This window comes from Homo sapiens, chromosome 3 (assembly GCF_000001405.40).
Source record: "Homo sapiens chromosome 3, GRCh38.p14 Primary Assembly".
NCBI lineage: Eukaryota > Metazoa > Chordata > Mammalia > Primates > Hominidae > Homo > Homo sapiens.
Genome location: NC_000003.12, coordinates 53,334,882 through 53,350,055, shown reverse-complemented (window position 1 = coordinate 53,350,055; position 15,174 = coordinate 53,334,882). Strand labels below are relative to the sequence as shown.

The 15,174-nt window shown below is 41.8% G+C and overlaps 1 protein-coding gene across 5 annotated transcripts in view, besides 4 other annotated features; it reads left to right on the top strand.

Moving 5' to 3' along the window:
* Nucleotides 2,019-2,788: an enhancer, noted in NCBI's record as "active region_19968". NCBI's record gives its function as "activates an Ori minimal core promoter by ATAC-STARR-seq in GM12878 lymphoblastoid cells {active_cell/tissue: GM12878}" and the evidence as "EXISTENCE:reporter gene assay evidence [ECO:0000049][PMID:35858748]".
* Nucleotides 2,019-2,914: a biological region, named in NCBI's record as "H3K27ac hESC enhancer GRCh37_chr3:53381169-53381759".
* Nucleotides 2,324-2,914: an enhancer, noted in NCBI's record as "H3K27ac hESC enhancer chr3:53381169-53381759 (GRCh37/hg19 assembly coordinates)". NCBI's record gives its function as "activates a minimal SCP1, AML or CMV promoter by ChIP-STARR-seq in naive H9 embryonic stem cells {active_cell/tissue: H9 hESC(naive)}" and the evidence as "EXISTENCE:reporter gene assay evidence [ECO:0000049][PMID:30033119]".
* DCP1A (decapping mRNA 1A) overlaps nt 2,513-15,174 on the top strand; it is a 64,115-nt gene continuing 51,453 nt past the window's right edge. For 2 of the 5 annotated variants that reach the window (NM_001290204.2, NM_018403.7), the window contains exons 1-3: nt 2,513-2,673; nt 5,114-5,154; nt 7,785-7,912. In NM_001290204.2, the coding sequence (NP_001277133.1) occupies nt 2,539-2,673; nt 5,114-5,154; nt 7,785-7,912 (304 nt within the window). In that variant the 5' untranslated portion in view covers nt 2,513-2,538. Of the gene's footprint in view, nt 2,674-5,113; nt 5,155-7,784; nt 7,913-11,910; nt 11,966-15,174 lie in introns of all 5 variants that reach the window. The other 3 variants (NM_001290207.2, NM_001290206.2, NM_001290205.2) reach the window with 2 other exon arrangements.
* Nucleotides 2,915-3,505: an enhancer, noted in NCBI's record as "H3K27ac hESC enhancer chr3:53380578-53381168 (GRCh37/hg19 assembly coordinates)". NCBI's record gives its function as "activates a minimal SCP1, AML or CMV promoter by ChIP-STARR-seq in naive H9 embryonic stem cells {active_cell/tissue: H9 hESC(naive)}" and the evidence as "EXISTENCE:reporter gene assay evidence [ECO:0000049][PMID:30033119]".

Here is a 15,174-nt window from a genome sequence, read left to right as displayed (position 1 = left end):
CAAAAAACAGTGGTCCTGGGATATAAAATCATAGGCAATACAAATATTTAGTGTTATTTTCTTGAAAATATGGTTTTATCTTACAAAAATTTTCAATTCTGTTGGGGATGTCAATTTTTTTTTCTTTCCAGACGTAGTCTTGCTATGTTGCTCAGGCTGGTCTTGAACTCCTGACCTCAAGTGATCCCCACCTCAGCCTACCAAATAGCTGGGACTACAGTTACATGCCACCATGCCCCCCCCTTTTTTTTTTTGGATGGAATTTCTCCCTCTGTTGCCCAAGCTCTGGAGTGTAGTGGTGCAATCTTGTGTCACTGCAACCTCCGTCTCCTGGGTTCAAGCTATTCTCATGCCTCAGCCTCTTGAGTAGCTGAGATTACAGGCATGTGCCACCACGCCCAGCTAATTTTTGTATTTTTAGTATAGATGGGGTTTCACCATGTTGGCCAGGCTGGTCTCCAACTCCTGACCTCAAGTGGTCCACCTTCCTCGGCCTTCCAGAGTGTTAGGATTACAGGCGTGAGCCCACACATCTAGCTACCATACCCTTTTTTTTTTTTTTTTTTTGAGTCTTGCTCTGTCGCCCAGGCTGGAGTGCAATGGCACCACCTTGGCTCACTGCAACCTCCGCCTCCCGGGTTCAAGTGATTCTCCTGTCTCAGCCTCCCAAGCAGCTGGGACTATAGGCGTGCGCCACCACGCCCGGCTAATTTTTGTATTTTTAGTAGAGACGGGGTTTCACCATATTGTCCAGGCTGGTCTCAAACTCCTGACCTCAGGCGGTCTTCCCACCTTAGCCTCCCAAAGTGCTGGGATTACAGGCATGAGCCACCACGCCCAGCCTCCATGACCTTTTTAACGAAAGAAATGTTGCTTTTTAAGAAGTCTGGCGGGGATAGAACTCCCTATAGTCTCCATGATTTGTTTTACTTGTTAGCTAGTGCCTAACTCTTTCAAACGCTTTAAAATGCTCAACAGACACTTACCAATGAAATGAGTGATCTGCTTAATGCTTTAAATGAAGCAAGACAAATTAAACCCTTCATGGACTCTTCCCAGGGCTGGACAAAAATATTTATGTGGGTCAGACGCAGTGGCTCACGCCTGTAATCCCAGCACTTTGGGAGGCCAAGGAGGGCAGATCACCTGAGGTCAGGAGTTCAAAACCAGCCTGGCCAATGTGGTGAAACCTCGTCACTACTAAAAAAAATACAAAAATTAGCTGGGCGTGGTGGCGGGCGCCCGTAATCCCGGCTACTCTGGAGGCTGACGCAGGAGAATCGCTTGAACCCAGGAGGCAGAAGTTGCAGTGAGCTGAGATCGCGCCACGGCACTCCAGTCTGGGCGACAGAGCGAAACTCCATTTCAAAAAAAAGAAAAAGAAAAAGAAAAAATTAGCCAGGTGTGGTGGCGGGCGCCTGTAATCCCACCTAATTGGGAGGCTGAGGCAGGAGAATCGCTTGAACCCTGGAGGCAGAGGTTGCAGTGAGCTTGAGATTGTGCCACGGCACTCCTGCCTGGGCAAAAGAGCGAGACTCCGTTTCAAAAAGAAAAAAAGAAAAGGGCCGGGCGCGGTGGCTCAAGCCTGTAATCTCAGCACTTTGGGAGGCAGAGGCGGGTGGATCGCCTGAGGTCAGGAGTTCGAGACTAGCCTGGCCAACATGGCGAAACCCCGTCTCTACTATAAACACAAAAATTATCAGGGCATGGTGGCGCGCCCATGTAATCCCAGCTACTGGGGACGCTGAGACAGGAGAATCGCTTGAACCTTGGAGGCGGAGGTTGCAGTGAGTCGAGATCGCGCCACTGCACTTCAGCCTGGGCGACAAGAGTGAAACTCCGTCTCAAAAAAAAAGAAAAAAAATCCACTTGTACCTTCTGCTAATCAGTGTATATATTCAAGGCAACTTGAATCTATGCTCCTGGGGTGCAATCCTCAAGCTTGGCCCAAATAAACTCTCTGCTTGCATTTATTTTGCCCCAGAGTCTTCTTCCTTTTAGGTCGACACATCCATATCTGAGACCTAGGGTAATTTTCTGGGCTTCTCGCCTCTCCCTTTCCCCCATGTTTTTCTGTGCTCTCTAAACGGGCCCGGTAGAGTCCCGCATTTCCACATTCCACAGACATGTTTTCCTTCTGTGGCCCCGGGCCCTGCCAGACAGCGCACCGCGAGGCCGGCACTTCGGCGGTCTCCAACCTTTGCCTGGAAAGAGCTCGGCAGGCGAGCTAGAGGCCAGATCCCAGGACCCAGTCGTTTTAGCTCAGGGAAAGGAAGCGCCGGAGCTCCAGCCTGCAAGCTCCACTACGCAGCCTTGGACACCGCCCACATCGTAGGGCCGCGGACCCTGACAACGCCGGAACCCGGCGCCCGGAGCGTGCGCGCGGCGGACCAGAATGGCTGACGTACCGCCCTGCCGCGAGGCCCGCGTAGAGGCGGAAGTTGAGGGGACTGACGCAGATGGGGGAATTTTGCCTCGATGGCACTTTCCTGTCCGCGACTCCGCCCCCACCAGAGGGGCTAGGCTCTGGGATTCAAGATGGAGGCGCTGAGTCGAGCTGGGCAGGAGATGAGCCTAGCGGCCCTGAAGCAACACGACCCCTATATCACCAGCATCGCAGACCTCACGGGCCAGGTCGCTCTGTACACCTTCTGCCCCAAGGCCAACCAGTGGGTGAGTGCCGCCTGGCCCTGAGGACGGCCACCCGGCCGCTGCCGTCTCTTAAAGGGGCCGCGCGGGTTACTGTGGGGTGGGGGGGCACACTAAGAGGCCAGGGCGGTGGAGACGAGGCCAGGGTCTGGCCAAGAGCCTAGCCAGAGCCTGAGGGGTGTCGGGTCCGCTTGGGATTGGGGGATAGGAGTGAGAGAAGTGGCTCGAGACATCCCAAGGAAAAGCCAGTGGAGGGGAGGATTGGAGCAGGATCAGTCCCTTGGCGTCGGGTCTGGGGACGTGGGCGACCTGCCTTCTTTGCAGATACATTGGGAGTTATAAGACCGGTGGGGTCAAAAGGGTGCCTGAAAGCTTGTGTTTGAGGCTTTGCGGATTATTAGATAAATTATATGTACATTATCTATAAAATAAACACTCCTCCTCTCCCCCTGGCAAACGTAAATGAGAGCCCCTGTCGCAGAGGTCATTTGGGTTTAAAGTTTAAAATCCAATTAGTTTCGATTCTTGGAAGGAGGGGGTGGGTGGGTCCGGCTTTAATCGAACTACACAGAGTTTCGGAAAAGATTCCAAGGCACTTAGGAAAAGGGCTTCCGTGTTCACTGGATCCCCGAAGACCTTTGTACAAACAAGAGAGACCCTGTAAATGTGTTTTGTTCCATCTATGATGCTGGTGATGTCATCTCTGAATGCTCCCCTCGGACTCAGTACTTTCTGGCTTTCGTGCACTGGGGAGGGTCCGAAAAGTCACATTCAGTGTGTTCACTGATTCTTGTTAGCCCCTGCTTGAAGCTTTGTTAGTTGTTTAAAAAGCATAATTTCCCACTTTCTTGTAATTGACCCTTCCTAATTAACTCATTCAGCTACAGGCTTTACACTTAGAAAGTAATACGTAAATGCTTGTTGGATTGAATTCACCAATGACTGGAGTTCACATTTCAATAAGATACGAAATCCTTAAACTGACAGAACTCTGGAAGATGACCGTAGTATGTCGTTTACCCTATAATACAGTTGCATAGATTATATTTATCAGTAATTTATCGAAAATCATTTGGCATTTATGAACAGTTAATTCAGATGAAGAGTTTTTATAATCACGTTGTTTATCTTTGCCTCCTGGAAGAGAAGGAGATATGGGAAGCCACAAGGAATAAAATTGTAGATTGTTTTTTAAATGTAGCTATTTTAGACATTGCCTTAGTTTGAAATTTTATGAATCTTTTTTCTTTTCTTGGCCTATATATAAATTTTGAAATATGGATTGCCGACAAATGGTGAAGACTTGGGGCTAGAGTTTTCCTAGTTTTTCACAAAGGCTTTCAATATTTTAAAATTTTACATTGTGGAGTTCTGTTTTAAATATGAAATACAAGCTATAATAACCTGAATTGAAAAATAAGCTGCTACTGTTTATTTGGATCCTGGCACATAGAGCATGACAAAAATCTTTTCCCTCTTTATTATTTTACAGTGAGTTGTAACTTTGCATGATGTTTTTTGGTGGGCAAATTTTCTTTTACTGTAAGACAGTTGATTACCAGTTTCTTATAGTAATAACCTAACATTTTAAAGGTAAGAAAAAGCCTCTGAATCCTTAGGAAGGAAAATAATGATATTTAAGCTAGGGTAGTACTTCTGGAAGAAATCGAGATGATCAATTTTCTAAATTTTTTAATCCCAACACATTCAATATATGACTAACATTTAAAATGTTAATAATGCGTTGATTACAGTAAAATATTTAGGTCCATTGTAGGCTGTAAATTGCAGACTAATAAGCTTATTTATTTTTTAAAAAACACTGAACTGTGTTTAAAACCTAAATACACTCTTGTCACAGAAAATGAACTATGGTAAAGGCCTCCAATAATTACACTGAGGCAGGGTATACTTTCAGTATTCAAGATTCTTCAAGTTCTAAAAATAACAAGCTGATTTTGTTTGGTAGTAATTCTTAACCACAAAATTTGCTAGTTGTCAAAATGTACGAAAACTCCCTAGTGATGAAACAAAGTATCCTATAAGAAAGTTTCATTCCTTTCCTTTTTTAAAATTAACTTGGATAAACTTAAAAGAGAAGAAATTGCAGTATACAGGACCTTAGCTTTAAAGTTAAGAAATCTGGCTAAAATATTTTAGCTATAAAAAGTGAAGGTTTATTCTATGATTTTCTCCTTTACTAATTAAAAAAGAAAAATACTGCAGATACAGATATGTTGCTGGATTAAATATTGCATATGCTTATGCACTGAAAGGATACATTAGAAATGGTAACCACAATTTGTGGAATGAGAGGGAGACTTTACCTGTTCAAAAGTGGTTAATTTTATAATAGATGAAATGAAACAAGTTGATCTTAAACGTGAAGCATTACTTCTCCATGGGGACTATTTGGGGTCTGATTATGGGGAAAAAAAACTAATTGAGTCATTGTCTTTCATAGGAGAAGACTGATATAGAAGGGACCTTATTCGTATATCGAAGGTAAGTTTTTAAAATATGTATATTTGTTTTTAACAGTCTAGTGGTGAACAATGTGAAACGGTTCAATTCTCTTGTACATTTGTCTTTGGAACCGTCCTGCTAGTACCCTTCAAGTTTTCATCTTTCCCTAGCTGTGAAATCTTAACCAGGTTCTTTCTTTTCTCTGAGCCTTTCTGTGATTCAGAATAAACTGAACTAGAATTTATATTACCAGCCTAGCAAAGCAATTTCAAAATAATAATGATTGAGTCTAAAATGGATGCCTGCGTCTCTCTTCCTACCCCCATATTAGAAAGAAAAAGAAAGATATATATTTGGGGAAAAGACAATACATAGACTGGCTCTGTAAAATAATGTTATTGAGAGGTCGATCCCTCTGTTCTTTCATTACTACATGAGTGGTTGTCTTTTATGACTGGTTCTGTCCTCTTTCCCAACCCACAGAAGTTCTGGATTATGTACAGTGTCTTATTTGAGAGTTCTTTAGAAAGCTTGGATTATTCATGATGGCGTATTTTTTATTTTTGACTTATTCAAAAATTCATTATCTTTAAGATTGGTTTGCAAATTGCAACTTTTTTGTTAGGCAGCTTTTGGGGCCTAAAGACAACTGACAGTATATGATAGTCATGGGGTACTTGTTTTCCTGGATTCCTCTAAGGTCTTAACTCTTACAAGGGCAGGTTCCTTCCCTTGTTTTCTAAAGCTTAGGGAGTCAGCAGGAGTTATTACTGATATCTGGTCTTTTCCCTTTTTTTTTTGTATTGAGTTGCTTCATAAGGATTGCCTTTCTCCATTGATGCCAATTTAAAAGAATTTGTCAAATACTCTTCTAAATTTTGATACAAAGCTTTGAGATCTCGTCTAAATGCACTCATTTTTTTCTTCTTTTAAGTGTAATTCTTTGATATTTGTACACCAAGCTCTTTTTTCTTAGACACTTTCTTTGTTCCCTGCTATTCATCTTTCTGCTTTTAAAAAGGAAGGGATCGGCCGGGTGCAGTGGCTCACGCCTGTAATCCCAGCACTTTGGGAGGCCGAGGTGGGCGGATCACGAGGTCAGGAGATCAAGACCATCCTGGCTAACACGGTGAAACCCTGTCTCTACTAAAAATACAAAAAATTAGCTGGGCATGGTGGCAGGCACCTGTAGTCCCAGCTACTTGAGAGGCTGAGGCAGGAGAATATCGTGAACCCAGGAGGCGGAGCTTGCAGTGAGCCGAGGTCGTGCCACTGCACTCCAGCCTGGGTGACAGAGCGAGACTCCCTCTCATAAAAAATAAATAAATTAATAGGAAAGGATCTTTACCCTCACTCCCTTCATTACTCTTCATTAGCAATATAAATCTCTAGAAACTCTGTTATTAGAACCTTAGTTTCTATGATATTTGGTAAAAGTACTTTACTGGCTTTATTGTTATCATACAGAGGCACTGATTGTAGAAAGTAGGAGATTTAGTGTAGTGGGTGGCTGGATTTAATACAATTCACGGAGGCTTATATGGTACTGATTCTAATTAAAGGAGACGCAAGAAACTGTGTTTGGAAAATGTGAGACTATTTTGCGTACCTTGGATAAAGGTATACCAGGATGTCAGACTGTCACTTTGCAGCTATTACTTCATATAGTAGAAGCTTGGATTTGGAGTCAAAAAACCTGAAACTGAATCCTAGTTATATTATTTGTAACTCATTATTTGTGTGACCTCAGGCACAGGCCTTATCATTCAAAGCTTGTCTCCTAATCTATAGAATAGTGTTCTGTTAACACCCCGGGTATATCGTAGAGAAACAAATGAAAAACGGTGAAGTGTTAGGTACATGTGAAGAGTAAAGGATCATGTACCGAATCCCTCTGATATGGGAACCAAGGATGTTTCCTATTGTAGGATTCAAGGCATTTTCCGTCTAACTCAGGAGCGCTATGTAAATATCTATTTGTTGCAAGAAAAACATTATTGTAATGATGGGCAGCCATTATAGCCAATCCAATTGAATGATATTTCATTCAGCAACTGTGTGTCTATCTTGGGATATATGTATGAAAAAAGTAAGACAAAAGCTCCATTTGCATGGGGCTTACATCCTAGTGGGGGGAGGACAATAAATACTAAAAATAAGTGGTATGGATAAAAGAGGAAGGTTAGAGATATTGAGCTTGGGAGCATTAAAAAGGATAGTTCAAGTAGGCCTCATGAAAAAGGTGACATCTGAACAAAGGCTTGGAGGAGATGAGATAGCTGTGCAGCTTCTGGGGCAGTAATCCAGGAAGAGGTTTTTAGGTAGAAGCACACACGCAGAGAGAGTGGCAAGGAGCCCGGTGTGGCTGGAGAGTAGGAGCTGGAGAAGAGCCATAGGAAATGAAGTCAGAGTGGGGAGTATATCAGGTGGGGCCTTGGTGGCCTCAGTAAGGACTTTGGCCTTTACTCTGAGAGACTGTCTTTGGAGACTTCTCGTCAGAGGAGGAGTATGATCTGACTTAAATTTTTTGTTTACAGATGTAAGTGCTGATAATATTGTATAATGTTCTAATGCATTCTTTTTTGAAATGAAAATAAAGTACATAGTAGATAACATTTCTACAGATTAAATGGTAACTACATATTTTTTTTTCTTCTATTAAATCTAAGGTCAGCTTCCCCTTACCATGGTTTTACCATTGTGAATCGACTAAATATGCACAATCTAGTTGAACCAGTGAATAAAGATTTGGAATTTCAGCTCCATGAACCATTTCTTCTGTATAGAAATGCAAGCTGTGAGTATATCTGTTTTATTATAGTTATTACATTTAAAATTGAGTGACTTTAGTTTCTATCAATCCATTATTTAGGAAGTTTCAAATTACAAAACAAAATATGGTCTCTACTTAATGATTATAAATGAGTCTGTTGGAAAGATCAAACCTTTTAAACTGGGCTCTGAGGCCAGAGGTGGTGGCTCATGCCTGTAATCCCAGCACTTTGGGAGGCCGAGGAGGGCAGATCACTTGAGGTCAGGAGTTCGAGACCAGCCAGGCCAACATGGTGAAACCCCGTATCTACTAAAAATACAGAAAAAAATTAGCCGGGCTTGGTGGCAGGCGCCTGTAATCACTTGAACCTGGGAGGTGGAGGTTGCAGTGAGCTGAGATCGCGCCACTGTACTCCAGCCTGGGCAACAGAATGAGACTGTGTCTCAAAAAAATAAATAAATAAACTGGGCTCTGAAACTGGAAACATTCTTTTGTATATAATTTAGTTTACTATTTCATTTAATAGCACTACATTTCTGTTGTCGGTTTATTAAAATAAGGTTTATGCCTTTGTTTTTTTGCAGCTGTGGACTATCAGCTGCCCATGTCCCTAAGCAACAGAACTTAGTTTGGGACACACAGGATGGGAACAGATACAGATAATTCTTTCCACAAAGAAAGTATTATTATTACTATTATTATTTTCTTTTTTTTGAGACGGAGTCTTGCTCTGTTGCCCAGGCTGGAGTGCAGTGGTGTGATCTAGGCTCATGCAAGCTCTGCCTCCCGGATTCATGCCCTTCTCCTGGCTCGGCCTCCCAAGTAGCTGGGACTACAGGCACCCGCCACCACGCCTGGCTAATTTTTTTGTATTTTTGGTAGAGAAGGGGTTTCACCGTGTTAGCCAGGATGGTCTTGATCTCCTGACCTTGTGATCTGCCTGCCTCGGCCTCCCAAAATGCTGGGATTATAGGCATGAGCCACCACGCCCGGCCAGAAAATATTATTTTTGCCCAGAATAGTGGTGATGGGTTTTTTTTTTTAAGATATTTATTACTTTTTCTACTTTATTTTGTCTGAATATGTTTCTAAGTAAGGTTTTTCTATCTGTTTATTTAATTGAGTGTCTACTGGTTACCAGCACTGAGCCAAGAGCTGTGGTGCTTTAATGTTAACGATACAGTTACCTATGTGGTGTAAGCAGGCAGTTAAGTCAACTGAGACTCAGAGATGCATAACTATTACCCTGTTGGAGAGTTAGGATTATGACTATTCTTCTGCTTTTTAGTCCAGGGTTCTTTCAGGCATTTTTACAATCTCTAATAACGATTGGATGTAGTCAGCAAAGCTAGAGTGGCCCTTCCAAGAAACTACAGTACTAAAAAATATACTTGATTCCAGTGTATTAGTATGGATATTGAAGGTATGGGTGTTTGAGGACAGTTTGTTGGACATTGACTATAGGGATATGAAAACTGGTTATGGTAACAATGATTGTGCTCTAATTGGCATCTAAGGATATAGTTGGAGAAATGTTGCTTCTAACTTAAAAAGTAAAAGTTAATGTGTTTGAATTTCACTTGGCGGGGGGGTAATTGGTCTTGGGGGATGTCTTCAGTATAAAATAGAAAAAGTTACTAAAAATTATACACCTCTTAATTCCCTGAATGAGAAGTAACAAGGCCTATTTTAAAGCTAGAAACCCCCAAGTTCTTTTCCGTAGCACACTTTGAAGTATAAGTGAAATAGGTTCTATCTTTTGACTTCTCAGTAAACTATTTGTCCAGGTAATTACCTCTCAGATTTTAAATTCTGTGGACATATTAGACATGCTTTGTAATAGCTGTAAGTTCAGATGGATTTATTTAAACTAATGTTAACAATGTAATTATTTCAGATTGCTCTTTTCTTTGTACTGAATATTCCATTAAAGGGAAAATTCGGCTGGGCAAAGTGGCTCAACACCTGCAATCCCACGATTTTGGGAGACCGAGGCAAGCAGATTGCTTGAGCCCAGGAGTTTGAGACCAGCCTGGGCAACATGTCAAAACCCCCACTCCACAAAAAAATAGAAAAATTAGCCAGGTGTGGTGTCACACACTTGTAGTCCCAGCTACCCAGGAGGCTGAGGTGGGAAAGTCGCTTGAACCCAGGAGGCTGTCCAGGCTGCAGTGAGCCATGATTGCGCCACTGCACTCCAGCCTGGGCAACAAGCGAGACCCTGACTCAAAAAATGAAAAGAGGGTGGGAGAAATTCTGCAAATGAATATGGATCCAATTTTTTTTTAAGTGAAATAGGCTTAATTCTGTTCTTTACTGCCTGGAAACTTAATCTAGCCATCACTCCTAAGTGGTTTGATTATTAAAGTAGTCAGTAGGGAAAGTTATCCGGACCCAGTTACCATTTAGCATAAACCTGAGATGAATTGTATTATATTTTTTTCACAAGGCAAAAGTCCTGTGAAATTGAAAGTGTGACATAACACAAATGTAATTGAACCATGAGTAACCAGAAGCTAACTAATTAGAGCTTCAGTTGTCTGGAAATATTTTTATAGTTCGTGTGTGGAAGAAATGAAGGCAAATTATAAGAAAACAAGCTAATACTAGGTTTTATTTTCTGAAAATCAAGCAGATATCCAGAGAATAACCTGGGGTCGGCATTAAAATGTCAATATTTTATAACTTTAACTCCACTGTAGTATCATAGGTTAAATTGTTATAGTGAGACCTAAAATCATCAGGAGTATTTATTATGTTAACTAGAACATTCTTGGGGAGAAAGTGCATTAATGCATTTTACTTTAGAAAATTTTCAACTGATTGAAACAAAAGTTTTCTTAGTTGAACAGAAAACTCACTTAACCAGGTCATTTCATTAGGGAAAGTATTTAAAGGAATAGCTGTATTGGGGAGAAGTGATAAGACAACAGAAAATGATTTTGTGAGTGTTAAGCCCTCTCGAGTGTGTGTTTTGTCTACATAGTCTTAAAAGTGGAAAATAGTCTTGTCAGGTCAGCGAGCTATTAAGTTGTTTAGGGATTTGTTCTTTAAATAAAAAGTTAGTATCTGATTATGCATACAGGTAATTATACCTGATTCTATAGCTGCACTTCTGCCATTCTCTTGTGGGAAATACCATCAAGACACCTGACCCATTTAACTCAAGTGACACCTTCATATCCAACTTCTTTCATTCAAATTAATTTTTGGAGTTAATGTACTAGAACAGTGAACCATAACTTTTTTTCAGTTCTAAGTTATTTGTTTTATTTATTTTTAAGAGTTTTTCTTTTTTTTTTTTTTTGAGACGGAGCCTTGCTCTGTCACCCAGGCTGGAGTGCAGTGGCATGATCTTGGCTCACTGCAAGCTCTGCCTCCCAGGTTCACGCCATTCTCCTGCCTCAGCCTCCCGAGTAGCTGGGACTACAGGCGCCCACCACCACGCCCGGCTAATTTTTTCTATTTTTAGTAGAGACGGGGTTTCACCGTGTTAGCTAGGATGGTCTCGATCTCCTGACCTCGTGATCCACCTGCCTTGGCCTTCCAAAGTGCTGGGATTACAGGAGTGAGCCACCGCGCCCAGCCAAGAGTTTTTCTTTATAAAACATGCCCATCTACACCCACCCCACCCCTCAAGAAAAAGATAAAATCTTAAAGAGAAAATTCTTACACTGACTAAGGGCTTAGGCTTGGTGATTCTCTTAAATCTTTGTGGGGTAGTGGTGGTGGTGGTGGTGGTTGTTTTCAAAAGACAAGGTCTCACTGTGTTGCCCAGGCTGGTCTTGAACTCCTGGGCTCAAGCAATTCTCCCGCCTCAGCCTCCCGAAGTGCTAGCATGGGCCACCATGTCCAGCCTCTTGAATCTTTTGGGAACAGTGTATTTTTATTCTGTGCAAGGGCCTTTTGGCAGTCACAAGACCCCAGTGGGATTGCAATGAATTATGGGGAGGTTATAAATTCTGGAGTTATTGAGTAGCAGTGGTATTTCTAGCACCTTATTTCTGATCCTCAACTTACAGGTTGAGAAAACAAGAGGCTCAGAGCTGTTTAGGAATCTGCTCGAGATTCGCAAAGGTAATAAGTGACAGATGGAGAATTTGGGAGTAGGTCTTTCGGGCTTCAAGGCCAATGTTCTTTCCACTCTACTGTAACAATAAAATTACTTCATCAATCCATATTCTAGAGTAGTGCTATCCACTAAAACTTTGCAATTAGGGAAAATGATAGTTCCGTGTCAGCACTGTCCCATATAGTAGCCTGCAATGTGGCTAGGGCAAATGAAGAACACTTCTTTTTAGTTTATTTAATTTAATATATTAGAATTTACATGGCTGTATGTGCTGGCAGCTGCCATACTGGACAGTGGAAGTCTCAGCATGAGCTCATGTGCTAACATGCTCTTTGTTGTGCCATACCTGAATCAAACAACTACTTGGGAAGCTTTGGCTTAGATTTTTATGCGTCCTATTTAGTCATTCCTTTTTGAAACTTACAAATGATTTCTAGATACAAAAGCTGCAGAATATATCCCTGAGGGTGGCTTTGCCATGGTAACATTCTTTTGGCATGGAATTTAGTTTGCAGATAAGAATTCTATTCTGGGCTTTGCCTTACTGACTATAACCTTGGCTAAATCATTTAAACCACTGATTTGACCTATTTATCTTAAAAGGCCATCATGAAAGTAAGGTATTTTGTTAGGCATTTACAAATACAAAATATCATAGACTGTGTCTCCATTCTAGACTCAACAAATGATCTCATTAGTGAAAGAATCCTAGGGACATCAGTGTTATCCACACCTGGCCTATCCAGATTCTCTTATAACACAGGCCTGTGATATGCTTCTTCCTATCCCTTCTGATAGTACCATGCATGAGCTGCAGGCTCTTTGTGTCTCTTTACAAGTATTATTTTCAAATGTTGTAGGGGCCATTACTAGAAAGCCTGAGGTATACATTGGAAAAATATATATATTAAAAATGAGAAGTCTTGGCCAGGTATGGTGGCTCACGCCTGTATCCCAGCACTTTGGGAGGCCAAGGCGGGTGGATCACCTGCGGTCAGGAGTTCAAGACCAGCCTGGCCAACACGGCGAAACCCCATCTCTACTAAAAATACAAAAAAATTAGCCGGACATGGTGGTGCACGCCTGTAGTCCCAGCTACTTGGGAGGCTAGGCAGGAGAATCGCTTGAACCCAGGCAGTGAAGGTTGCAGTGAGCCTAGATGGCCCCTTGGCACTCCAGCCTGGGAGACAGAGCAAGACTCCATCTCAATAAATAAATAAATAAATAAATAAATAAATAAATAAATAAATCTGGGCTTTGGGTTAGAAGGAAGATGTCTTCCTAAAAAATAACCATGGGACTTCCCTCATACAAATTTAAGGTTCAAGTTGTACCATTCATTTAGTATCATTTCTTACCCAGGTCAAGAAATTAACATAAAATTAATCATCAGCTGGTGATTACTCTACGGCATCTGGCAGAAGCAAATGTAGATCCCTTCTGGCAAGATACATTCTTAGCCCAGCCAGGTTGCCCAGGAATATCAGGCATGTCTCATGGTCTAAAATTACTAAATATACAAGGAAATACTTTGCAGTGAATGAAAGGTAGCATATAACAAACAGCAGGATTATACAACCCTTCCCAAAGACTTTAGTTCATGGAAACTAGAGACTCTAATGGATGTAAATACCAGATACAGATTATAAAATAAAGTAAAAAGAACAGCAAATGTGAAAAAAGAATAAAGGCCCTGTGCGGTGGCTCACGCCTGAAATCCCAACACTTTGGGAGGCCGAGGCAGGTGGATCACCTGAGGTCAAGAGTTCGAGACCAGCCTGCCCAACATGGTGAAACCCCATCTCTACTAAAAATAGAAAAAATTAGCCTGGCGTGGTGGCAGACACCTGTAATCCCAGCTACTCGGGAGAGACTGAGTCAGAAGAATCGTTTGAACCCGGGAGGCAGAGGTTGCAGTGAGCCAAGATCATGCCACTGCACTCCAGCCTGGGCAACAAGAGCTAAACTCCATCTCAAAAAGAAAAGAATAAAATGCTGCCAGGCACAGTGGCTCACACTTGTAATCTCAGCACTTTGGGAGGCCAAGGCGAACAGATCACTTGAGCCCAGGAGTTCAAGACCAACATGAGCAACATGGCGAAACCCTGTCTCTATAAAAAATACAAAAAATTAGCCGGGTGGACCTGGGAGGCTGAGGTGAGAGAATCACCTGAGCCCGCGAGGTTGAGGCTGCAGTGAGCCATGATCACGCCACTGCGCTCCAGCCTGGGTGATAGTGAGACCCTGTCTCAAAAAATAAAAGAATAAAAAAGAATTAAATGCTATTAAAAAAAAGGAAGATTTGAAAAATTGCTGAGTAGAACTAATAGAAATTAAAATTTTAATTGAAAGATACTCTCTACTTGGATTCAACAGTTAATTGGTAATAGCTGAAAAGAGAATTGGTGAGCTAGAAGATATATCTGAGGAAATCCAGAATGTATCCAAAAAAAGGACAAAATGGAAATATGACAGAGTGATTAGAATTATAAACTCTAACATTTGATGGATAAGAATTTCAGAATGATAAAGCAGATTTGTAGAGAGGCAATATTTGAAGCGTTGATGACTGGGAATTTTCCAGAATCCATAAAAGACATAAATCTCAGATTTAAACAATAGAATGAGCTCCAAGCATAAAACATAGAAATATTAGCCGGACACTATGGCTCACGCCTGTAATCCCAGCACTTTGGGAGGCCTAGGCAGGCTGGATCACTTGAGGTCAGGAGTTCGAGACCAGTCTGGCCAACATGGTGAAACCCCACCGCTACTAAAAATACAAAAATTAGCTGGGCCTGGTGGCGGGCACCTGTAATTCCAGCTACTCAGGAGGCTGAGGCAGGAAAATCGCTTGAACCCGGGAGGTGGAGGTTGCAGTGAGCCGGGATGATGCCACTGCACTCCAGCCTAGGTGACAGAGTGAGACTCTGTCTCAAAAAATAAATAAATAAAAATAAAAAAAATATATATATATACACATGCGCGTGCACACACACACACACACACCCAGACACATTCTGATGAGATGTCAAAGGCAGAGACAGAAGCAACCAAAGGTTGCTCAAGATTGGGTGTTTACAAAGGAACACCAGTTAGACTGACAGCATATTCCATAGTTGCAGCTACTGAGTTTAGAAGACAAAAGAATAATATATTGAGAGGACTGAAGAAAAAAAAAAACCAATAATTCAGTAATCGAAGAGAACAAAAT